The sequence below is a fragment of the Homo sapiens genome, chromosome 1 (genome assembly GCF_000001405.40).
Source record: "Homo sapiens chromosome 1, GRCh38.p14 Primary Assembly".
Lineage (NCBI taxonomy): Eukaryota > Metazoa > Chordata > Mammalia > Primates > Hominidae > Homo > Homo sapiens.
The window spans coordinates 2,762,368-2,785,138 of record NC_000001.11 but is presented as its reverse complement, the minus strand read 5'-3'; the positions used below and the strand labels follow the sequence as shown (position 1 = coordinate 2,785,138).

At 55.4% G+C, this 22,771-nt stretch overlaps 1 protein-coding gene and 7 long non-coding RNA genes across 32 annotated transcripts in view; 1 reads left to right on the top strand and 7 right to left on the bottom strand.

Moving 5' to 3' along the window:
* The window catches only part of TTC34 (tetratricopeptide repeat domain 34), a 164,708-nt gene that overhangs the window by 16,555 nt on the left and 125,382 nt on the right, over positions 1-22,771 (top strand). The window contains exon 6 of the mRNA NM_001242672.3: positions 1,364-1,530. Coding sequence (NP_001229601.2) covers positions 1,364-1,530 — 167 coding nt within the window. The remainder of the gene's footprint in view (positions 1-1,363; positions 1,531-22,771) is intronic.
* Positions 394-17,311, bottom strand: LOC105378598 (uncharacterized). Of its 22 annotated transcripts, none has more exons than XR_007065371.1 (6): positions 17,287-17,311; positions 13,974-14,094; positions 13,812-13,891; positions 9,865-10,187; positions 7,680-9,782; positions 6,372-6,929 (listed from the first exon to the last, which is right to left on the bottom strand). It is a non-coding gene; the product is annotated as an uncharacterized LOC105378598 (long non-coding RNA). The 22 variants fall into 22 exon arrangements; XR_007065370.1 differs by lacking the exon at positions 17,287-17,311 and adding an exon at positions 14,455-14,467; XR_007065364.1 differs by lacking the exon at positions 17,287-17,311 and having other exon boundaries at positions 7,680-8,447; positions 8,530-9,782; positions 13,974-14,458.
* Positions 10,745-11,644, bottom strand: LOC105378599 (uncharacterized). Of its 2 annotated transcripts, none has more exons than XR_946865.1 (3): positions 11,234-11,644; positions 11,073-11,151; positions 10,745-10,990 (listed from the first exon to the last, which is right to left on the bottom strand). It is a non-coding gene; the product is annotated as an uncharacterized LOC105378599 (long non-coding RNA). The 2 variants fall into 2 exon arrangements; XR_946864.1 differs by having other exon boundaries at positions 11,073-11,192; positions 11,275-11,644.
* LOC107984904 (uncharacterized) lies at positions 12,248-13,313 on the bottom strand. The gene is made up of 3 exons (XR_001737863.1): positions 12,886-13,313; positions 12,603-12,803; positions 12,248-12,440 (listed from the first exon to the last, which is right to left on the bottom strand). It is a non-coding gene; the product is annotated as an uncharacterized LOC107984904 (long non-coding RNA).
* On the bottom strand, positions 17,621-21,720 carry LOC112268220 (uncharacterized). Its single transcript, XR_002958245.1, has 4 exons — positions 21,236-21,720; positions 21,074-21,153; positions 20,712-20,991; positions 17,621-17,771 (listed from the first exon to the last, which is right to left on the bottom strand). It is a non-coding gene; the product is annotated as an uncharacterized LOC112268220 (long non-coding RNA).
* Positions 18,167-19,066, bottom strand: LOC105378600 (uncharacterized). 2 transcript variants are annotated; one of them, XR_946867.2, is made up of 3 exons: positions 18,656-19,066; positions 18,495-18,573; positions 18,167-18,412 (listed from the first exon to the last, which is right to left on the bottom strand). It is a non-coding gene; the product is annotated as an uncharacterized LOC105378600 (long non-coding RNA). The 2 variants fall into 2 exon arrangements; XR_946866.2 differs by having other exon boundaries at positions 18,495-18,614; positions 18,697-19,066.
* LOC107985732 (uncharacterized) lies at positions 19,510-20,575 on the bottom strand. The gene is made up of 3 exons (XR_001737864.1): positions 20,148-20,575; positions 19,865-20,065; positions 19,510-19,702 (listed from the first exon to the last, which is right to left on the bottom strand). It is a non-coding gene; the product is annotated as an uncharacterized LOC107985732 (long non-coding RNA).
* On the bottom strand, positions 21,752-22,651 carry LOC105378601 (uncharacterized). 2 transcript variants are annotated; one of them, XR_946869.2, is made up of 3 exons: positions 22,241-22,651; positions 22,080-22,158; positions 21,752-21,997 (listed from the first exon to the last, which is right to left on the bottom strand). It is a non-coding gene; the product is annotated as an uncharacterized LOC105378601 (long non-coding RNA). The 2 variants fall into 2 exon arrangements; XR_946868.2 differs by having other exon boundaries at positions 22,080-22,199; positions 22,282-22,651.

Sequence of the window (22,771 nt, the reverse complement as noted above, 5' to 3'; positions counted from 1 at the left end):
CCCAAAGGGGGATGGCAGCGTTGCCCATGTCGGGTGGAAGTGGGGATTCAGAGGGCTCATTTTGGGACAGTACCTGGCACAGAGAGCATGCCCTGCACACGTCGGCAGGAAGGCATGCAGCCCAGAGCGGCCCAGAGCGGCCCAGAGCAGCCCAGAGCGGCCCAGAGTGGCCCAGAGCAGCCTGGCATGTTGTCCCATGTCCGTCACAGAACAACACCCAGAAGGGGCACAGTAATGACAGCCTCTTTGGCGAGGGGTTGTGGGCAAAAGATTACCTAGGTGCCGAGGCAAGAGACTGAAGGCACAAACTGTTTCAGTATAATAAAGAAAATAGAATAAGAATAGTCATGATACAAATTAGATATAGAGATAATGAACAATTATTAATCATTATTAATCATTAGCTTTTAATATTACTTTTTGTTGCATTACTAACATAATCTAGTAATAACCAGTGGGTGTAGGGTCAGGTGCTGAAGGGACATTGTGAGAAGTGAATAGAAGGCAAGAGGTGAGCCCTCTGTCACACCCGCATAAGGGCTGCTTGAGGGCCCCTTGGTCAAGTGGTAACACCAGTGTCTGGGAAGGCACCCATTACTGAGCAGACCGGGAAAGGGAGTCTCCTTTACTTGGAGGAGTCAGGGAACACTCTGCTCCACCAGCTTCTTATGGAAGGCTGGATATCATCCAGGCCTGCCCACAGTCATCCAGAGGTCTAAACCCCTCCCTGTGGTGCTTCAATGGTCACGTTCCTTGTCCACTTTCATGTTCCTCCCATACTCCTGGTTCCTCTTTGAAGTTTGTAGTAGATAGCGGTAGAAGGAATAGTGAAAGTCTTAAAGGCTTTGATCTTATAAGTTCATAGAAGAAAACGCTGACGTATGCCACCTTCTATCTCTGCTTCAGCTGCCCAAGAGGGAAGGGCCCACTGTCCTTTGATCACGTGACTTGCTTCACCTTGTCAATCACTTAGAAGATTCACCCTCCTTACCCTGCCCCCCTCGTCTTGTATGCAGTAAATATCAGTGCGCTCAGCCGTTCGGGGCCACTACCGGTCTCCGCGTCTTGATGGTAGTGCTACCCTGATCCCCCTGCCCTCGCCTGGCCTCAGAGGCAGCTGCAGTGCCCCCTCCTCACGGCAGCCCCCCAGCTGTCCCCAGTCCTGGCTGAGCTCCTCTTGCCCTGCAGCCAATGCCCCCAAGTCCACCCTGTCTCTGTCTGTCTTGGTGCCCAGTGGCCTGTGAGCTCCCCAAGGTAGGCCCTGAAGCTCATGCACCCTCTGCCCTCCCCGGGCTGGGCAGGATAGATGCTGGGGAAGGGACCCAGCATAGGCTCATCCTGACCCCATGCCGTCTTCCTGCAGGAAGCCAGGCAAGTGAGTCCCTCCTTGCCCGAGCCCGCTGCTATGGGTTCCTGGGCCAGAAGAAGACGGCCATGTTCGACTTCAACACAGTGCTGCGGGCTGAGCCGGGGAACGTGCAGGCACTGTGTGGACGGGCGTTGGTGCACCTGGCCCTAGACCAGCTGCAGGTGCCGCCCCACTCCTGACCTGGGCCTGGGCAAGCACGGGTGGGGGACCCAGGGAGCTGCCTTCCTCCACCCCAAGGAGAGAGGGAGCCGGGTAGGCCATCCTGAGCAGTGAGATGCCCATCAAAACCCATGTTCCCATCCCCACCTGTACAGCGGCTCATGGGAGCCGGGTCCCCACAAACCCAGTTTCTGGGAGTCCTGCCCTTTCATCCTCCCAGCCTCAGTCTGTGTGGATAGATGTGCGAGCCTTCAGAGGTACTAGGGGTCCTCCCCAGCTTAGATAATGCTCAGTGCATGCAGGGGTCCCTCTGGGGTTGTTGGCCAGGAGATGTTCCCTCAGCTGCATTGGTGAGGCTGCCTGGCCCCCGGTGTTGAGAGGGGTTTAGAGGACATGCACAGAGGGAGTAAGTGCTGGCCTCGGCCAGCCATGTCTGCCACAGACAGGTGCAGGGATGCAGCCCCCGGACCCTGATCTGAGCTTCATTTACCTGCTCTTTAAGTTCGGTATCTATGCATTTAAGACTTTCTTCTGCAGGAACTGCTCCAATTTAAAATAAAAGTTGGGAGAGGGGCAATGGCAAGAAGACAGATCCCAATCAGCTGGGGGAGGCCTGTGTGCTGGAAGATGGTTTCTGTTCTGTTTGTTTATGAGCATTCCTTGCTTGCAACTGCACTGCATTCTATGTGGTCTGACTCTGAGGGACTCACACTGGACCTGTGTGCTCAGCCCAGGCCTGCTGCCCTGAGCACTGTCCCTGGAGCCCAGAAGAGTTGGGTCCAGCTAAGCAACCGCAGCCGAATCACTTCACCTCCCCAGGCCTCAGTTTCCTCCTCTGTAAAAGGAGGAGGGAGCTAAACAACCAATGGATCACAGAAGAAATCACACTTCGAGAAGTTAGACAATGCTTAGAGACAAGTGAAAATGAAAACAACACACCCCAAATTATGAGACACAGGGAAAGCAATCCTGAGGGGGAAATGTATAGCTGTAAATGCTTCCATTAAAAAACAAGAAAGATCTCAAATCAACAATCTAACTTTACAACTTAAGAAACTAGAAAAAGAACACATGAACAGAAAGAGAAAGAAAGAGAGAGAGAAAAAGATTACAGCAGAGATCAATAAAACATAGGATAGAGAAGAAATAGAGAAAATCAATGAAAACAAAAGTTTGTCCTTGAAAAGACAAAATTTGACAAACCTTTTGCCAGGTGGACTAAGAAAGAGAAAATTCAAATCATGACAATCAGAAATGAAAATCAGGTTATTACCAATTCTACAGAAATAAAAATAATTATAAGATAGTAATAGGAACAATTGTAAACCAACAAATCAGTTAATCTAGGTGAAATGGACAAATCCCTAGAAACACAAAACCTACCAAGACTAAATCATGAAGAAATAGAAGATCTGAATAGACCTATAACTAGTAAAAAGATTGAGTCAGTAATCAAAAATCTCCCAACAAAGAAAAGGCCAGGACCTGATGGCTTCACTGGTGAATTCTACCAAATATTTAAAGAACTAACACGAATCCTCAAACTTTTCCAAAAAATCAAAGAGGAAGGAACACTTCCTCAGACTCATTCTATGAGGCCAGCATTACCCTGATACCATAGCCAAAGACACTACAAGAAAACTACAGACCATTATCCCGTATGAATATTGAGGCAAAAATCCTCAACAAAATACTAACAAAACAAATTCAGCAATTTGTTAAAATGATGACACACGTGACCAAGTGAGATTTATTGCTAGAATGCAAGGATGGTTCAACATACAAATGTCAATTTATGTGATGTACCACATTAACAGAATGAAAGGGAAAAAATGATCATCTCAACTGATGCAGAAAAGCATTTGACAAAATTCAGCACCCTTTTATGATAAGAATACTCAACAAACTAGGAATAGAAGGAAACTGCCTCAATATAAAATCCATATATGAAAAACCCACAGCAAACATCATACTCAATGATGAAAAAGAAAAGTTTTTCCTCTAAGATCAGGAACAAGGCAAGGATGATTGCTTTTGCACTTCTACTCAACATTGCACTGGAAGTTATAGCCAGAATAACTAGGCAAGAAAAAAATTACCAAGCATCCAAATTTGAAAGAAGTAAAATTATCTCTGTTCACAGATCTTATATGTAGAAATCCCTAAAGATTCCACACACAAAAAAAAATTGTTAGAACTAATAAATGAATTCAGCAAAGTAGCAGGATACGAAGGCAACACAAAAATCAGTTGCATTTTTATACATTAATAATGAACAATCTAAAAAGGGAATTAAGAAAATACAGTCACCCCTTGGTATACACATGGGATTGGTTCCAGGACAACCCTCAGATACTGAAATCCCCACATACTGAAGTCCTACAGTCAGCCCTGTGGAACCCCCAACCCCTAGATATGAAAAGTTGGCCCTCTGTGTACGAGGGTTGCACATCCCAAGAACTGATCTGCATTTGGCTGTGGATTCGGAACCCACCAATATGAAAGGCTGGCTGTATTTATTGAAAAAAATTCACATATAAGGGGACCCACATAATTTTAACCTGTGTTCAAGAGTCAACTGTAATTCCATCTACAATAGAATTAAAAAGAATAAAATACTTAGGAATTAACCAAAGAGGTGAAAGATTTGTACAATGAAAACTATAAAACATTGCTGAAATAAATTAAATAAGACATAAACAAATGGAAACACATTCCATGTTCATGTATTAGAAGACTTCATGTTGGTAAGACGTCAGTATTACCCAAAGTGATCTACAGATTCAATGCAATCTCTGTCAAAATCTCAATAATGTTTTTTACAGAAGTAGAAAAGCTAAATTCTGAAATTCCTGTGGAATCTCAGGGGACCCCAAACAGCCAAAACAACCCTGAAAAAGAACCAGCAAGCTGGAGGACTCACACTTCCTGATTTCAAAACTTACTACAAAGCTACAGTGATCAAAATAGTGTGGTATGGCACAAAAACAGACACAGAGACCAATGAAACAGAATAGAGAGTCCAGAAATGAACCCTCCCATAGATGGTCAAATGATTTGACCAAGACCATTCAATGGGGAAGGGACAGTCTTTTCAACAAATGTTGCAGGGAAAACTATGCAAAAGAATGAAGTTGGACTCTTTCCTAACACTACATACAAAAATTAATTCAAAATGGATCAAAGACCTAAAACTATAAAATTCTTAGAAGTAAGCACAGGGGAGAAGCTTCACGACACTGGATTTGACAATGACTTCTGGGCTACAACAACAAAGGCACAGGCAGCAAAAGAAAAAATAAAGTTGGATTTCATGAAAATTAAATTTTTTGTGCACCAAAGGACACTATTATAATAGAGTAAAAAGGCAACTGACAGGATGGAAGAAAACCACAATATTTGCAAGTCACATATCTGATAAGGAATTATTACCCAGAATACACAGAGAAGTCCTAAAACTCAACAACAACAAAGCCAAAAACCCAATTCAATTTTTGGAGCTGAAGTCTCGCTCTGTCACCCAGGCTGGAGTGCAGTGGCGGGATCTCAGCTCACTGCAACTTCCGCTTCCGGGGTTCAAGCGATTCTCCTGCCTCAGCCTCCCGAGTAGCTGGGATTACAGGTGGGCGACCCCACGCCTGGCTAATTTTTTGTATTTTTATAGAGACGAGGTTTCACTGTGTCATTCAAAAAAAATGAGCAAAGGACTTAAACAGACATTTCTCAAAAAAAGATATACAAATGGACAATAAGCACATGAAAAGATGCTGGACATCACCAATCATCAGGGAAGCACAAATCAAAACAACGAGATATGCCTCACACCTGTCAGGATGGCTACTATGAAGTTTTTAAAAAGAAAATAACAAGCACTGGTGAGGATGTGAAGAAACTGGAACCTTCTGCACTATTGGTGGGAAGGTAAAATGGTGCAGCAGCTAAGGAAAACAGGATGGCCATTTCCCAAAAAGCTAAAAATAGAACTACCAGCTGGGTGTGGTGGCTCACGCCTGTAATCCCAGCACTTTGAGAGGCCAAGGAGGGTGGATCACGAGGTCAGGAGATCAAGACCATCCTGGCTAACACGGTGAAATCTGGTCTCTACTAAAAATACAAAAAGTTAGCCAGGCGTGGTGGCACGCGCCTGTAATCCCAGCTACTCGGGAGGCTGAGGCAGGAGAATCGCTTGAACCCGGGAGGTGGGAGTTGCAGTGAGCTGAGATCCTGCCACTGCACTCCAGCCTGGGCGACAGAGCGAGACTCCAGCTCCAAAAAAAAGAAAAAAAAAATAGAACTACCATATGATCAAGCAATTCCACATCTGGGTCTACATCCAAAATAAATGGAAGTAGGGTCTTTTAGAGACATTTGTACACCATATTCATAGATAGCATCATTGTTCACAAGAGCTTGGAGGTGGAAGGCACCCAGGTGTCCACCGATGGATGGGTGGATAAGCCAAACATGATCCATCCATACAATGGGGAATTATTCAACATTAAAAAGGAAGGGATTCCTGGTACACACTACAACATGGATGAACCTCAAGGACATTGTGCTCAGCAAAATAAGCAGCCACCACAAAAGGACAAACACTGTGTGATTTCCCTTATATGAAGTCCCTAGAGTCATCGAATCACAGAGACAGAAAGCAGAATGGTGGGTGCCTGGGGTTGGGGGCAGAGAGTGCCTGGGGAACGGAGAGTTAGTATTTAACGGGGACAGAGTTTCAGTTTGGGAAGATGAGCTAGTTCTGGAAAGGGATGGTGGTGACGGCCACACAACATGATGAATGTATTTAATGCCACCACACCGTACACATAAAGATAATTAATTAAGATGGTAAATTTTACGTTATGTATATTTAACCACAATAAAAACAAATTGGAAAAAGAAGAGGGTGGGTGCTGCCCCTCCTGGGGATCAGAGGAGGCACCCTGGGGATATGCCCAGGTGTTGCCTGGCCCCTCCCCTGCCTGTCTCCCCCCACAGAGCTCCCATCAACCTCGGGTGAATGCAGGAGGGGCAGGAGAGGAGATGTGGCTGAACAGTGGTTCCTCCAGCCCATAAACAGCTAAGACAAAAGGGACATCCCCTGTGATCTGCTGGCCACCCTCTTGGGTACTAGCCTGAGCTGTCTACTCAACAGGATGCACGGCAGGGATGGGAGGGGTCCACTCCCAGGCCCATGACAAGAGGCTGTCACAAGGGAGACCTGCCCTGAGGCAGCCACAGCCCCGGGGCCCTGCACTTTCTCTGTGGGGGCTGCCAGAGATGAGGGCACTTCCCAGCCAAGAGCAGTGTTGAAATTGGCTGTCTGCCCTGATGCTTCGCTGGGTAAAAGCACAGCACAGAGGCAATGTGCCTGCCAGGGCTTCTGATTTTCTTAAGGGCTGGAGTTCTAGGAAGAAAGGAAAAGCAATCCTGGAGGCCAGGAGGACGACAGCCTCCAGAGGCCATGCTTGCTGCTGCAGGGCAGGCTGCTGGACCAGGGCACCAAGTTTCCCCCAAGTTTCCCACTGGCAGGCCTGACTTCTGTGCCAGCCTGGGCCCCAGGGAGGGAGACATGCATTTGGGGCTGGGAGCCAGCTCTCTGCCTGCCCTTTCCTGCACTGGACAGACTTTCCTGCACTGGACAGACATCTGTGGCTGCCAGGGACATGCCCATTTAACAGCTGGATGTGGCCACAAGGGATCCTTGGAAACTGCCTACAGGTGCCGGAACCTCCTCCAAGGGGTACCACAGGATCCTGTCCCCTCCTCCCGCTGTGTCCAGGGCCGCAGGACCAGAGGCAGGGAAAGTCAGCCAGGACGTTGGAGGGCTAGCATGTGGGAGTGACGGTAGGAGCAGCAGGCCCTCGCCCCGTCATGCCTGTGAATTTGTGCATCCAGGATATGGGCTGATGCTGCGCCCCCCCCCCCATGCCCTCTGCCTCTTCACCCTGAGAGGAGGCATGGCACAGGCTCAAGGCTGTGAGCTCTGACTCAGCGCTGGGGCTCAGCAGCAGGCCCCTCCTCCTGGCCAACAACCCTGTCCTGTCTCTCAGCCTTGGTTTCACCACAGGTAACATGCAGGGGTGCTTCTTCCAGGCGGTCATATGCTCACCTGGTGGAAAAGGACAGCACATATTCCAGGAATTCAGACACTAACCGGGGGGCAGGACTTGTCCATGCTGTCAGATGCTCCCCTGGAGGTGTGGAGTGCTGTTCCAGGCTGTCAGATGCTCCCCTGGAGGTGTGGGGTGTTGCTCCAGGCTGTCAGATGCTCCCCCTGGAGGTGTGGGGTGCTGTTCCAGGATGTCAGATGCTCCCCTGGAGGTGTGGGGTGCTGCTCCAGGTTGTCAGATGCTCACTGGGGGTGTGGGGTGCTGTTCCAGGATGTCAGATGCTCCCCTGGAGGTGTGGGGTGCTGCTCCAGGCTGTCAGATGCTCACCTGGGGGTGTGGGTGCTGTTCCAGGCTGTCAGATGCTCACCTGGGGGTGTGGGGTGCTGTTCCAGGCTGTCAGGTGCTCACCTGGGGGCGTGGGGTGCTGTTCCAGGATGTCAGATGCTCACCTGGGGGTGTGGGTGCTGCTCCAGACTGTCAGATGCTCCCCTGGGGGTGTAGGGTGCTGCTCCAGGCTGTCAGATGCTCACCTGGGGGTGTGGGTGCTGTTCCAGGCTGTCAGATGCTCACCTGGGGGTGTGGGGTGCTGTTCCAGGCTGTCAGATGCTCACCTGGGTGCGTGGGTGCTGTTCCACGCTGTCATATGCTCATCTGCCAGTAGGGGTGCTGTTTTATGCTGCCAGATGCCCACCTCGGGGTGAGGGTGCTGTTCTAGGTTGTCAGATGCTCCCCTGGGGGTGAGAGTGCTGTTCCGTGCTTTCAGATCCTTACTTGGAGAACTGGGGTTCTGTTCCAGGCTATCAGATGTTCACCTGGAAGCAGTGGGGGGGTTTCCAGGCTGTCAGATGCTCACCTGTGCATGGAGGGTACTTTCCCGGGCTGTCAAATGCTCACCTGGGGGCAGTGGTCTTGTTCCATGCTGTCAGATTTTTGCCTGGGGTGTGGGGTGCTGTTTCAGGCTGTCATATTCTCACCTGAAGGTGGAGGGTGCTGTTCCAGGCTGTCAGATGCTCACCTGAAGGGGGTTGTTTTTCCAGGCTGCCAGATGCTCACCTGGGGGCAGTGGTCTTGTTCCATGCTGTTGGAATCTTACCTGGGGATGTGAGCTGCTGTTCCAGGCTGTCGGATGCTCACCTGAAGGGGGTTGTTTTACCAGGCTGCCAGATGCTCACCTGGGGGCAGTGGTCTTGTTCCATGCTGTTGGAATCTTACCTGGGGATGTGAGCTGCTGTTCCAGGCTGTCGGATGCTCACCTGCATGTGGGTTACCATTCCAGGCTTTCAGCTGCTCACCTGGCTGTGTGGAGTGCCTATCCAGGCTATCAGATGCTCACCTGCAGTTGTGGGGTGCTGTTCCAGGCTGTCAGACACTCACCTGAGGGCGGGGAGCTTTTTCCCACTTATCAAATTCTTATTTGAAGTTGTGGGGTTCTGTTCCAGGCTGTCAGATGCTCACCTGGGGGTGGAGGGTGTTGTTCCGGGCTGTCATATGCTCACCTTGTGGTGGGCATGGTTTTCCACGCGTCCCCAGGTGAGCATCTGATAACCCGGAACACCACCCTTAACCCCCATGTGAACATCCAAAAACCTACAATGGCACCTTCCATCCCCAGGTGAGGATCTGGCAGCCTGGACTGGCACTCCCAACCTCAGGTGAGCATCCTCACCCAGGGGTGGGCACTGCTGCTCCAGGCTGTCAGATGCTCACCTGAAGATTCGAGTGTTGATCCAGGCTTTCAGATTCTTACCTAAGTGTGCAGGTGCCGCTCTAGGCTGTCAGACACTTACCTGGGGATGTGGGTTGCCGTTCCTGGCTGGCAAATGATCACCTGGGGTTGTGGGGTGCTGTTTTATCCTGTCAGATGCTCACCTGAGGGGATGTGCTGTTCCACGCAGTCACATCACCTGTGAGTGGGGGTGCTGTCCCATGCCATCGGATGCCCACCTTGGGGTGTGTGGTGCAGGTTCTGGTTGTCAGATGCTCATCTGGTGGTGGAGGGTGCTGTTTCAGGCTGTCAGATGCACACCTGGGGGTGTGGGTACTGCTCCAGGCTGTCAGATGCTCACCTGGGAGTGTGGGTGCTGTTCCAGGCTGTCAGATGCTCAACTGGGGGTGCAGGGTGCTGCTTTATTCTGTCATATTCTCACCTGGAAGAGCGGGGTTCTGTTCCAGGTAGTCAGATCCTCACCTGGGGTTGGAGAATTCTGTTCCAGGCTGTCGGATGCTCACCTGGATGTGAGGATGTCATTCCATACAGTCAGATGCTCGCCTGGGGGTGTGGATGCTGTTCCAGACTGTCAGATGCTCACCTGGGGTTGCAGGGTGCTGTTTTATGCGTCAGATTCTCACCTGGAAGAGTGGGGTTCTGTTCCAGGCTGTCAGATCCTCACCTGTGGTTGGAGAATTCTGTTCCAGGCTGTCGGATGCTCACCTGGAGGTGAGGATGCCATTCCATGCGGTCAGATGCTCACCTGGGGGTGTGGATGCTGTTCCAGGCTGTCAGATGCTCACCTGGGGGTGCAGGGTGCTGTTTTATGGTGTCAGATTCTCACCTGGAAGAGTGGGGTTCTGTTCCAGGTTGTCAGATCCTCACCTGGGGTTGGAGAATTATGTTCCAGGCTGTCGGATGCTCACCTGGAGGTGAGGATGCCATTCCATGCGGTCAGATGCTCACCTGGGGGTGTGGGTGCTGCTCCAGGCTGTCGGATGCTCACCTGGAAGTGAGGATGACATTCCATGCGGTCAGATGCTCCCCTGGGGGTGTGGGTGCTGCTCCAGGCTGTCAGATGCTCACCTGGGGGTGTGGGTGCTGCTCCAGGCTGTCAGATGCTCGCCTGGGGGTGTGGGTGCCGTTCCAGGCTGTCAGATGCTCACCTGGAGGTGAGGATGCCATTCAATGTGGTCAGATGCTCACCTGGGGGAGTGGATGCTGTTCCAGGCTGTCAGATGCTCACCTGGGGGTGTGGGTGCTACTCCAGGCTGTCAGATACTCACCTGGGAGTGTGGGTGCTGCTCCAGGCTGTCAGATGCTCACCTGGGGGTGTGGGCGCTGCTCCAGGCTGTAAGATGCTCACCTGGGGGTGTGGGCGCTGCTCCAGGCTGTCAGATGCTCACCTGGGGGTGTGGGTGTTGCTCCAGGCTGTCAGATTCTCGCCAGCGGGTGTGGGTGCTGTTCCAGGCTGTCATATGCTCATCTGCCAGTAGGGGTGCTGTTTTATGCTGCCAGATGCCCACCTCGGGGTGAGGGTGCTGTTCTAGGTTGTCAGATGCTCCCCTGGGGGTGAGAGTGCTGTTCCTTGCTTTCAGATGCTTACTGGGAGGCCTGGGGTTCTGTTCCAGGCTATCAGATGTTCACCTGGAAGCAGTGGGGGGGTTTCCAGGCTGTCAGATGCTCACGTGTGGGTAGAGGGTGCTTTCCCAGGCTGTCAAATGCTCACCTGGGGGCAGTAGTCTTGTTCCATGCTGTCAGATTTTTGCCTGGGTGCGGGGTGCTGTTTCAGGCTGTCATATTCTCACCTGAAGGTGGAGGGTGCTGTTTCAGGCTGTCAGATGCTCACCTGCGGGTGCAGGGTGCTGTTTTATGCTGTCAGATTCTCACCTGGAAGAGTGGGGTTCTGTTCCAGGTTGTCAGATCCTCACCTGGGGCTTGAGAATTCTGTTCCAGGCTGTCCGATGCTCACCTGGAGGTGAGGATGACATTGCATGTGGTCACATGCTCACCTGGGGGTGTGGGTGCTGCTTCAGGCTGTCAGATGGTCACCTGGGGCTGTAGATGCTGTTCCAGGTTGCCAGATGCTCACCTGGGGGTGTGGGTGCTGCCCCAGGCTGTCAGATCTCACCTGGGGGTATGGGTGCAGCTCCAGGATGTCAGCTACTCAACTGGGGGTGTGGGTGCTGCTCCAGGCTGTCAGATGCTAACCTGGGATTGTGGGCGCCTGCTCCAGGCTGTCAGATGCCCACCTGGGGGTGTGGGCGCTGCTCCACGCTGTCAGATGCTCACCTGGGGGTGTGGGCGCTGCTCCAGGCTGTCAGATGCTCACCTCGGTGTGTGGGCGCTGCTCCAGGCTGTCAGATGCTCACCTGGGGGTGTGGGTGCTGCTCCAGGCAGTCAGATGCTCACCTGGGGGTGTGGGTGCTGCTCCAGGCTGCCAGATGCTCACCTGGGGGTGTGGACGCTGCTCCGGGCTGTCAGATGCTCACCTGGGGCTGTGGGCGCCGCCCCAGGCTGTCAGATGCTCACCTGGGGGTGTGGGTGCTGCTCCAGGCTGTCAGATGCTCGCCCGGGGGTGTGGGCGCTGCTCCAGGCTGTCACATGCTCACCTGGGGGTGTGGGCGCTGCTCCAGGCTGTCAGATGCTCGCCTGGGGTTGTGTGTGCTGCTCCAGGCTGTCAGATGCTCGCCTGGGGGTGTGGGTGCTGCTCCAGGCTGTCAGAGGCTCACCTGGGGGTGTGCGTGCTGCTCCAGGCTGTCAGATGCTCGCCTGGGGGTGTGGGTGCTGCTCCAGGCTGTCAGATGCTCGCCTGGGGGTGTGCATGCTGCTCCAGGCTGTCAGATGCTCGCCTGGGGGTATGGGTGCTGTTCCAGGCTGTCGAATGCTCACCTGGGGGTGTGGGGTTCTGCTCCAGGCTGTCAGATGCTCATCTAGGGGTGTGGGGTGCTGTTCCAGGCTGTCAGATGCTCACCTGGGGGCGTGGGGTGCTGTTCCAGGATGTCAGATGCTCACCTGGGGGTGTGGAGTGCTGTTCCAGACTGTCAGATGCTCCCCTGGGGGTGTGGGGTGCTGCTCCAGGCTGTCAGATGCTCACCTGTGGGTGTGGAGTTCTGTTCCAAGCTGTCAGATGCTCACCTGGGGGTGTGGGGTGCTGTTCCACGATGTCCGATGCTCGCCTGGGGGTGTGGGTGCTGCTCCAGGCTGTCGGATGCTCACCTGGGGGTGTGGGTGCTGCTGCAGGCTGTGAGATGCTCACCTGGGGGTGTGGGTGCTGTTCCAGGCTGTCATATGCTCATCTGCCAGTAGGGGTGCTGTTTTATGCTGCCAGATGCCCACCTCGGGGTGAAGGTGCTGTTCTAGGTTGTCAGACGCTCCCCTGGGGGTGAGAGTGCTGTTCCGTGCTTTCAGATGCTTACTTGGAGGCCTGGGGTTCTGTTCCAGGCTATCAGATGTTCACCTGGAAGCAGTGGGGGTGTTTCCAGGCTGTCAGATGCTCACGTGTGGGTGGAGGGTGCTTTCCCAAGTTGTCAAATGCTCACCTGGGAGCAGTGGTCTTGTTCCATGCTGTCAGATTTTTGCCTGGGGTGTGGGGTGCTGTTTCAGGCTGTCATATTCTCACCTGAAGGTGGAGGGTGCTGTTTCAGGCTGTCAGATGCTCACCTGGGGGTGCAGGGTGCTGTTTTATGCTGTCAGATTCTCACTTGGAAGAGTGGGGTTCTGTTCCAGGTTGTCAGATCCTCACCTGGGGTTTGAGAATTCTGTTCCAGGCTGTCGGATGCTCACCTGGAGGTGAGGATGACATTCCATGTGGTCACATGCTCACCTGGGGGTGTGGGTGCTGCTTCAGGCTGTCAGATGGTCACCTGGGGCTGTAGATGCTGTTCCAGGTTGCCAGATGCTCACCTGGGGGTGTGGGTGCTGCCCCAGGCTGTCAGATGCTCACCTCAGTGTGTGGGCGCTGCTCCAGGCTGTCAGATGCTCACCTGGGGGTGTGGGTGCTGCTCCAGGCTGCCAGATGCTCACCTGGGGGTGTGGACGCTGCTCCGGGCTGTCAGATGCTCACCTGGGGCTGTGGGCACTGCCCCAGGCTGTCAGATGCTCACCTGGGGGTGTGGGTGCTGCTCCAGGCTGTCAGATGCTCGCCCGGGGGTGTGGGCACTGCTCCAGGCTGTCACCTGCTCACTTGGGGGTGTGGGCGCTGCTCCAGGCTGTCAGATGCTCGCCTGGGGTTGTGTGTGCTGCTCCAGGCTGTCAGATGCTCGCCTGGGGGTGTGCGTGCTACTCCAGGCTGTCAGATGCTCGCCTGGGGGTGTGGATGCTGTTCCAGACTGTCAGATGCTCACCTGGGGTTGCAGGGTGCTGTTTTATGTGTCAGATTCTCACCTGGAAGAGTGGGGTTCTGTTCCAGGCTGTCAGATCCTCACCTGTGGTTGGAGAATTCTGTTCCAGGCTGTCAGATGCTCACCTGGAGGTGAGGATGCCATTCCATGCGGTCAGATGCTCACCTGGGGGTGTGGATGCTGTTCCAGGCTGTCAGATGCTCACCTGGGGGTGCAGGGTGCTGTTTTATGGTGTCAGATTCTCACCTGGAAGAGTGGGGTTCTGTTCCAGGTTGTCAGATCCTCACCTGGGGTTGGAGAATTATGTTCCAGGCTGTCGGATGCTCACCTGGAGGTGAGGATGCCATTCCATGCGGTCAGATGCTCACCTGGGGGTGTGGGTGCTGCTCCAGGCTGTCGGATGCTCACCTGGAAGTGAGGATGACATTCCATGCGGTCAGATGCTCCCCTGGGGGTGTGGGTGCTGCTCCAGGCTGTCAGATGCTCACCTGGGGGTGTGGGTGCTGCTCCAGGCTGTCAGATGCTCGCCTGGGGGTGTGGGTGCGGTTCCAGGCTGTCAGATGCTCACCTGGAGGTGAGGATGCCATTCAATGTGGTCAGATGCTCACCTGGGGGAGTGGATGCTGTTCCAGGCTGTCAGATGCTCACCTGGGGGTGTGGGTGCTACTCCAGGCTGTCAGATACTCACCTGGGAGTGTGGGTGCTGCTCCAGGCTGTCAGATGCTCACCTGGGGGTGTGGGCGCTGCTCCAGGCTGTAAGATGCTCACCTGGGGGTGTGGGCGCTGCTCCAGGCTGTCAGATGCTCACCTGGGGGTGTGGGTGTTGCTCCAGGCTGTCAGATTCTCGCCAGCGGGTGTGGGTGCTGTTCCAGGCTGTCATATGCTCATCTGCCAGTAGGGGTGCTGTTTTATGCTGCCAGATGCCCACCTCGGGGTGAGGGTGCTGTTCTAGGTTGTCAGATGCTCCCCTGGGGGTGAGAGTGCTGTTCCTTGCTTTCAGATGCTTACTGGGAGGCCTGGGGTTCTGTTCCAGGCTATCAGATGTTCACCTGGAAGCAGTGGGGGGGGTTTCCAGGCTGTCAGATGCTCACGTGTGGGTAGAGGGTGCTTTCCCAGGCTGTCAAATGCTCACCTGGGGGCAGTAGTCTTGTTCCATGCTGTCAGATTTTTGCCTGGGTGCGGGGTGCTGTTTCAGGCTGTCATATTCTCACCTGAAGGTGGAGGGTGCTGTTTCAGGCTGTCAGATGCTCACCTGGGGGTGCAGGGTGCTGTTTTATGCTGTCAGATTCTCACCTGGAAGAGTGGGGTTCTGTTCCAGGTTGTCAGATCCTCACCTGGGGCTTGAGAATTCTGTTCCAGGCTGTCCGATGCTCACCTGGAGGTGAGGATGACATTCCATGTGGTCACATGCTCACCTGGGGGTGTGGGTGCTGCTTCAGGCTGTCAGATGGTCACCTGGGGCTGTAGATGCTGTTCCAGGTTGCCAGATGCTCACCTGGGGGTGTGGGTGCTGCCCCAGGCTGTCAGATCTCACCTGGGGGTATGGGTGCAGCTCCAGGATGTCAGCTACTCAACTGGGGGTGTGGGTGCTGCTCCAGGCTGTCAGATGCTAACCTGGGATTGTGGGCGCCTGCTCCAGGCTGTCAGATGCCCACCTGGGGGTGTGGGCGCTGCTCCACGCTGTCAGATGCTCACCTGGGGGTGTGGGCGCTGCTCCAGGCTGTCAGATGCTCACCTGGGGGTGTGGGTGCTGCTCCAGACTGTCAGATGCTCCCCTGGGGGTGTAGGGTGCTGCTCCAGGCTGTCAGATGCTCACCTGGGGGTGTGGGTGCTGTTCCAGGCTGTCAGATGCTCCCCCTGGAGGTGTGGGGTGCTGTTCCAGGATGTCAGATGCTCCCCTGGAGGTGTGGGGTGCTGCTCCAGGTTGTCAGATGCTCACTGGGGGTGTGGGGTGCTGTTCCAGGATGTCAGATGCTCCCCTGGAGGTGTGGGGTGCTGCTCCAGGCTGTCAGATGCTCACCTGGGGGTGTGGGTGCTGTTCCAGGCTGTCAGATGCTCACCTGGGGGTGTGGGGTGCTGTTCCAGGCTGTCAGGTGCTCACCTGGGGGCGTGGGGTGCTGTTCCAGGATGTCAGATGCTCACCTGGGGGTGTGGGTGCTGCTCCAGACTGTCAGATGCTCCCCTGGGGGTGTAGGGTGCTGCTCCAGGCTGTCAGATGCTCACCTGGGGGTGTGGGTGCTGTTCCAGGCTGTCAGATGCTCACCTGGGGGTGTGGGGTGCTGTTCCAGGCTGTCAGATGCTCACCTGGGTGCGTGGGTGCTGTTCCACGCTGTCATATGCTCATCTGCCAGTAGGGGTGCTGTTTTATGCTGCCAGATGCCCACCTCGGGGTGAGGGTGCTGTTCTAGGTTGTCAGATGCTCCCCTGGGGGTGAGAGTGCTGTTCCGTGCTTTCAGATCCTTACTTGGAGAACTGGGGTTCTGTTCCAGGCTATCAGATGTTCACCTGGAAGCAGTGGGGGGGTTTCCAGGCTGTCAGATGCTCACCTGTGCATGGAGGGTACTTTCCCGGGCTGTCAAATGCTCACCTGGGGGCAGTGGTCTTGTTCCATGCTGTCAGATTTTTGCCTGGGGTGTGGGGTGCTGTTTCAGGCTGTCATATTCTCACCTGAAGGTGGAGGGTGCTGTTCCAGGCTGTCAGATGCTCACCTGAAGGGGGTTGTTTTTCCAGGCTGCCAGATGCTCACCTGGGGGCAGTGGTCTTGTTCCATGCTGTTGGAATCTTACCTGGGGATGTGAGCTGCTGTTCCAGGCTGTCGGATGCTCACCTGCATGTGGGGTACCATTCCAGGCTTTCAGCTGCTCACCTGGCTGTGTGGAGTGCCTATCCAGGCTATCAGATGCTCACCTGCAGTTGTGGGGTGCTGTTCCAGGCTGTCAGACACTCACCTGAGGGCGGGGAGCTTTTCCCCACTTATCAAATTCTTATTTGAAGTTGTGGGGTTCTGTTCCAGGCTGTCAGATGCTCACCTGGGGGTGGAGGGTGTTGTTCCGGGCTGTCATATGCTCACCTTGTGGTGGGCATGGTTTTCCACGCGTCCCCAGGTGAGCATCTGATAACCCGGAACACCACCCTTCACCCCCATGCGAACATCCAAAAACCTACAATGGCACCTTCCATCCCCAGGTGAGGATCTGGCAGCCTGGAATGGCACTCCCAACCTCAGGTGAGCATCCTCACCCAGGGGTGGGCACTGCTGCTCCAGGCTGTCAGATGCTCACCTGAAGGTTCGAGTGTTGATCCAGGCTTTCAGATTCTTACCTAAGTGTGCAGGTGCCGCTCTAGGCTGTCAGACACTTACCTGGGGATGTGGGTTGCCGTTCCTGGCTGGCAAATGATCACCTGGGGTTGTGGGGTGCTGTTTTATGCTGTCAGATGCTCACCTGAGGGGACGTGCTGTTCCACGCAGTCACATCACCTGTGAGTGGGGGTGCTGTTCCATGCCATCGGATGCCCACCTTGGGGTGTGTGGTGCAGGTTCTGGTTGTCAGATGCTCATCTGGTGGTGGAGGGTGCTGTTTCAGGCTGTCAGATGCACACCTGGGGGTGTGGGTGCTGCTCCAGGCTGTCAGATGCTCACCTGGGAGTGTGGGTGCTGCCCCAGGCTGTCAGATGCTCAACTGGGGGTGCAGGGTGCTGCTTTATTCTGTCATATTCTCACCTGGAAGAGCGGGGTTCTGTTCCAGGTAGTCAGATCCTCACCTGGGGTTGGAGAATTCTGTTCCACGCTGTCGGATGCTCACCTGGATGTGAGGATGTCATTCCATACAGTCAGATGCTCGCCTGGGGGTGTGGATGCTGTTCCAGACTGTCAGATGCTCACCTGGGGTTGCAGGGTGCTGTTTTATGCGTCAGATTCTCACCTGGAAGAGTGGGGTTCTGTTCCAGGCTGTCAGATCCTCACCTGTGGTTGGAGAATTCTGTTCCAGGCTGTCGGATGCTCACCTGGAGGTGAGGATGCCATTCCATGCGGTCAGATGCTCACCTGGGGGTGTGGGTGCTGCTCCAGGCTGTCGGATGCTCACCTGGAAGTGAGGATGACATTCCATGCGGTCAGATGCTCCCCTGGGGGTGTGGGTGCTGCTCCAGGCTGTCAGATGCTCACCTGGGGGTGTGGGTGCTGCTCCAGGCTGTCAGATGCTCGCCTGGGGGTGTGGGTGCGGTTCCAGGCTGTCAGATGCTCACCTGGAGGTGAGGATGCCATTCAATGTGGTCAGATGCTCACCTGGGGGAGTGGATGCTGTTCCAGGCTGTCAGATGCTCACCTGGGGGTGTGGGTGCTACTCCAGGCTGTCAGATACTCACCTGGGAGTGTGGGTGCTGCTCCAGGCTGTCAGATGCTCACCTGGGGGTGTGGGCGCTGCTCCAGGCTGTAAGATGCTCACCTGGGGGTGTGGGCGCTGCTCCAGGCTGTCAGATGCTCACCTGGGGGTGTGGGTGTTGCTCCAGGCTGTCAGATTCTCGCCAGCGGGTGTGGGTGCTGTTCCAGGCTGTCATATGCTCATCTGCCAGTAGGGGTGCTGTTTTATGCTGCCAGATGCCCACCTCGGGGTGAGGGTGCTGTTCTAGGTTGTCAGATGCTCCCCTGGGGGTGAGAGTGCTGTTCCTTGCTTTCAGATGCTTACTGGGAGGCCTGGGGTTCTGTTCCAGGCTATCAGATGTTCACCTGGAAGCAGTGGGGGTGTTTCCAGGCTGTCAGATGCTCACGTGTGGGTAGAGGGTGCTTTCCCAGGCTGTCAAATGCTCACCTGGGGGCAGTAGTCTTGTTCCATGCTGTCAGATTTTTGCCTGGGTGCGGGGTGCTGTTTCAGGCTGTCATATTCTCACCTGAAGGTGGAGGGTGCTGTTTCAGGCTGTCAGATGCTCACCTGGGGGTGCAGGGTGCTGTTTTATGCTGTCAGATTCTCACCTGGAAGAGTGGGGTTCTGTTCCAGGTTGTCAGATCCTCACCTGGGGCTTGAGAATTCTGTTCCAGGCTGTCCGATGCTCACCTGGAGGTGAGGATGACATTCCATGTGGTCACATGCTCACCTGGGGGTGTGGGTGCTGCTTCAGGCTGTCAGATGGTCACCTGGGGCTGTAGATGCTGTTCCAGGTTGCCAGATGCTCACCTGGGGGTGTGGGTGCTGCCCCAGGCTGTCAGATCTCACCTGGGGGTATGGGTGCAGCTCCAGGATGTCAGCTACTCAACTGGGGGTGTGGGTGCTGCTCCAGGCTGTCAGATGCTAACCTGGGATTGTGGGCGCCTGCTCCAGGCTGTCAGATGCCCACCTGGGGGTGTGGGCGCTGCTCCACGCTGTCAGATGCTCACCTGGGGGTGTGGGCGCTGCTCCAGGCTGTCAGATGCTCACCTCGGTGTGTGGGCGCTGCTCCAGGCTGTCAGATGCTCACCTGGGGGTGTGGGTGCTGCTCCAGGCAGTCAGATGCTCACCTGGGGGTGTGGGTGCTGCTCCAGGCTGCCAGATGCTCACCTGGGGGTGTGGACGCTGCTCCGGGCTGTCAGATGCTCACCTGGGGCTGTGGGCGCCGCCCCAGGCTGTCAGATGCTCACCTGGGGGTGTGGGTGCTGCTCCAGGCTGTCAGATGCTCGCCCGGGGGTGTGGGCGCTGCTCCAGGCTGTCACATGCTCACCTGGGGGTGTGGGCGCTGCTCCAGGCTGTCAGATGCTCGCCTGGGGGTGTGCATGCTGCTCCAGGCTGTCAGATGCTCGCCTGGGGGTATGGGTGCTGTTCCAGGCTGTCGAATGCTCACCTGGGGGTGTGGGGTTCTGCTCCAGGCTGTCAGATGCTCATCTAGGGGTGTGGGGTGCTGTTCCAGGCTGTCAGATGCTCACCTGGGGGCGTGGGGTGCTGTTCCAGGATGTCAGATGCTCACCTGGGGGTGTGGAGTGCTGTTCCAGACTGTCAGATGCTCCCCTGGGGGTGTGGGGTGCTGCTCCAGGCTGTCAGATGCTCACCTGTGGGTGTGGAGTTCTGTTCCAAGCTGTCAGATGCTCACCTGGGGGTGTGGGGTGCTGTTCCACGATGTCCGATGCTCGCCTGGGGGTGTGGGTGCTGCTCCAGGCTGTCGGATGCTCACCTGGGGGTGTGGGTGCTGCTGCAGGCTGTGAGATGCTCACCTGGGGGTGTGGGTGCTGTTCCAGGCTGTCATATGCTCATCTGCCAGTAGGGGTGCTGTTTTATGCTGCCAGATGCCCACCTCGGGGTGAAGGTGCTGTTCTAGGTTGTCAGACGCTCCCCTGGGGGTGAGAGTGCTGTTCCGTGCTTTCAGATGCTTACTTGGAGGCCTGGGGTTCTGTTCCAGGCTATCAGATGTTCACCTGGAAGCAGTGGGGGTGTTTCCAGGCTGTCAGATGCTCACGTGTGGGTGGAGGGTGCTTTCCCAAGTTGTCAAATGCTCACCTGGGAGCAGTGGTCTTGTTCCATGCTGTCAGATTTTTGCCTGGGGTGTGGGGTGCTGTTTCAGGCTGTCATATTCTCACCTGAAGGTGGAGGGTGCTGTTTCAGGCTGTCAGATGCTCACCTGGGGGTGCAGGGTGCTGTTTTATGCTGTCAGATTCTCACTTGGAAGAGTGGGGTTCTGTTCCAGGTTGTCAGATCCTCACCTGGGGTTTGAGAATTCTGTTCCAGGCTGTCGGATGCTCACCTGGAGGTGAGGATGACATTCCATGTGGTCACATGCTCACCTGGGGGTGTGGGTGCTGCTTCAGGCTGTCAGATGGTCACCTGGGGCTGTAGATGCTGTTCCAGGTTGCCAGATGCTCACCTGGGGGTGTGGGTGCTGCCCCAGGCTGTCAGATGCTCACCTCAGTGTGTGGGCGCTGCTCCAGGCTGTCAGATGCTCACCTGGGGGTGTGGGTGCTGCTCCAGGCTGCCAGATGCTCACCTGGGGGTGTGGACGCTGCTCCAGGCTGTCAGATGCTCACCTGGGGCTGTGGGCACTGCCCCAGGCTGTCAGATGCTCACCTGGGGGTGTGGGTGCTGCTCCAGGCTGTCAGATGCTCGCCCGGGGGTGTGGGCACTGCTCCAGGCTGTCACCTGCTCACTTGGGGGTGTGGGCGCTGCTCCAGGCTGTCAGATGCTCGCCTGGGGTTGTGTGTGCTGCTCCAGGCTGTCAGATGCTCGCCTGGGGGTGTGCGTGCTGCTCCAGGCTGTCAGATGCTCGCCTGGGTGTGTGGATGCTGTTCCAGACTGTCAGATGCTCACCTGGGGTTGCAGGGTGCTGTTTTATGCGTCAGATTCTCACCTGGAAGAGTGGGGTTCTGTTCCAGGCTGTCAGATCCTCACCTGTGGTTGGAGAATTCTGTTCCAGGCTGTCGGATGCTCACCTGGAGGTGAGGATGCCATTCCATGCGGTCAGATGCTCACCTGGGGGTGTGGATGCTGTTCCAGGCTGTCAGATGCTCACCTGGGGGTGCAGGGTGCTGTTTTATGGTGTCAGATTCTCACCTGGAAGAGTGGGGTTCTGTTCCAGGTTGTCAGATCCTCACCTGGGGTTGGAGAATTATGTTCCAGGCTGTCGGATGCTCACCTGGAGGTGAGGATGCCATTCCATGCGGTCAGATGCTCACCTGGGGGTGTGGGTGCTGCTCCAGGCTGTCGGATGCTCACCTGGAAGTGAGGATGACATTCCATGCGGTCAGATGCTCCCCTGGGGGTGTGGGTGCTGCTCCAGGCTGTCAGATGCTCACCTGGGGGTGTGGGTGCTGCTCCAGGCTGTCAGATGCTCGCCTGGGGGTGTGGGTGCGGTTCCAGGCTGTCAGATGCTCACCTGGAGGTGAGGATGCCATTCAATGTGGTCAGATGCTCACCTGGGGGAGTGGATGCTGTTCCAGGCTGTCAGATGCTCACCTGGGGGTGTGGGTGCTACTCCAGGCTGTCAGATACTCACCTGGGAGTGTGGGTGCTGCTCCAGGCTGTCAGATGCTCACCTGGGGGTGTGGGCGCTGCTCCAGGCTGTAAGATGCTCACCTGGGGGTGTGGGCGCTGCTCCAGGCTGTCAGATGCTCACCTGGGGGTGTGGGTGTTGCTCCAGGCTGTCAGATTCTCGCCAGCGGGTGTGGGTGCTGTTCCAGGCTGTCATATGCTCATCTGCCAGTAGGGGTGCTGTTTTATGCTGCCAGATGCCCACCTCGGGGTGAGGGTGCTGTTCTAGGTTGTCAGATGCTCCCCTGGGGGTGAGAGTGCTGTTCCTTGCTTTCAGATGCTTACTGGGAGGCCTGGGGTTCTGTTCCAGGCTATCAGATGTTCACCTGGAAGCAGTGGGGGTGTTTCCAGGCTGTCAGATGCTCACGTGTGGGTAGAGGGTGCTTTCCCAGGCTGTCAAATGCTCACCTGGGGGCAGTAGTCTTGTTCCATGCTGTCAGATTTTTGCCTGGGTGCGGGGTGCTGTTTCAGGCTGTCATATTCTCACCTGAAGGTGGAGGGTGCTGTTTCAGGCTGTCAGATGCTCACCTGGGGGTGCAGGGTGCTGTTTTATGCTGTCAGATTCTCACCTGGAAGAGTGGGGTTCTGTTCCAGGTTGTCAGATCCTCACCTGGGGCTTGAGAATTCTGTTCCAGGCTGTCCGATGCTCACCTGGAGGTGAGGATGACATTCCATGTGGTCACATGCTCACCTGGGGGTGTGGGTGCTGCTTCAGGCTGTCAGATGGTCACCTGGGGCTGTAGATGCTGTTCCAGGTTGCCAGATGCTCACCTGGGGGTGTGGGTGCTGCCCCAGGCTGTCAGATCTCACCTGGGGGTATGGGTGCAGCTCCAGGATGTCAGCTACTCAACTGGGGGTGTGGGTGCTGCTCCAGGCTGTCAGATGCTAACCTGGGATTGTGGGCGCCTGCTCCAGGCTGTCAGATGCCCACCTGGGGGTGTGGGCGCTGCTCCACGCTGTCAGATGCTCACCTGGGGGTGTGGGCGCTGCTCCAGGCTGTCAGATGCTCACCTCGGTGTGTGGGCGCTGCTCCAGGCTGTCAGATGCTCACCTGGGGGTGTGGGTGCTGCTCCAGGCAGTCAGATGCTCACCTGGGGGTG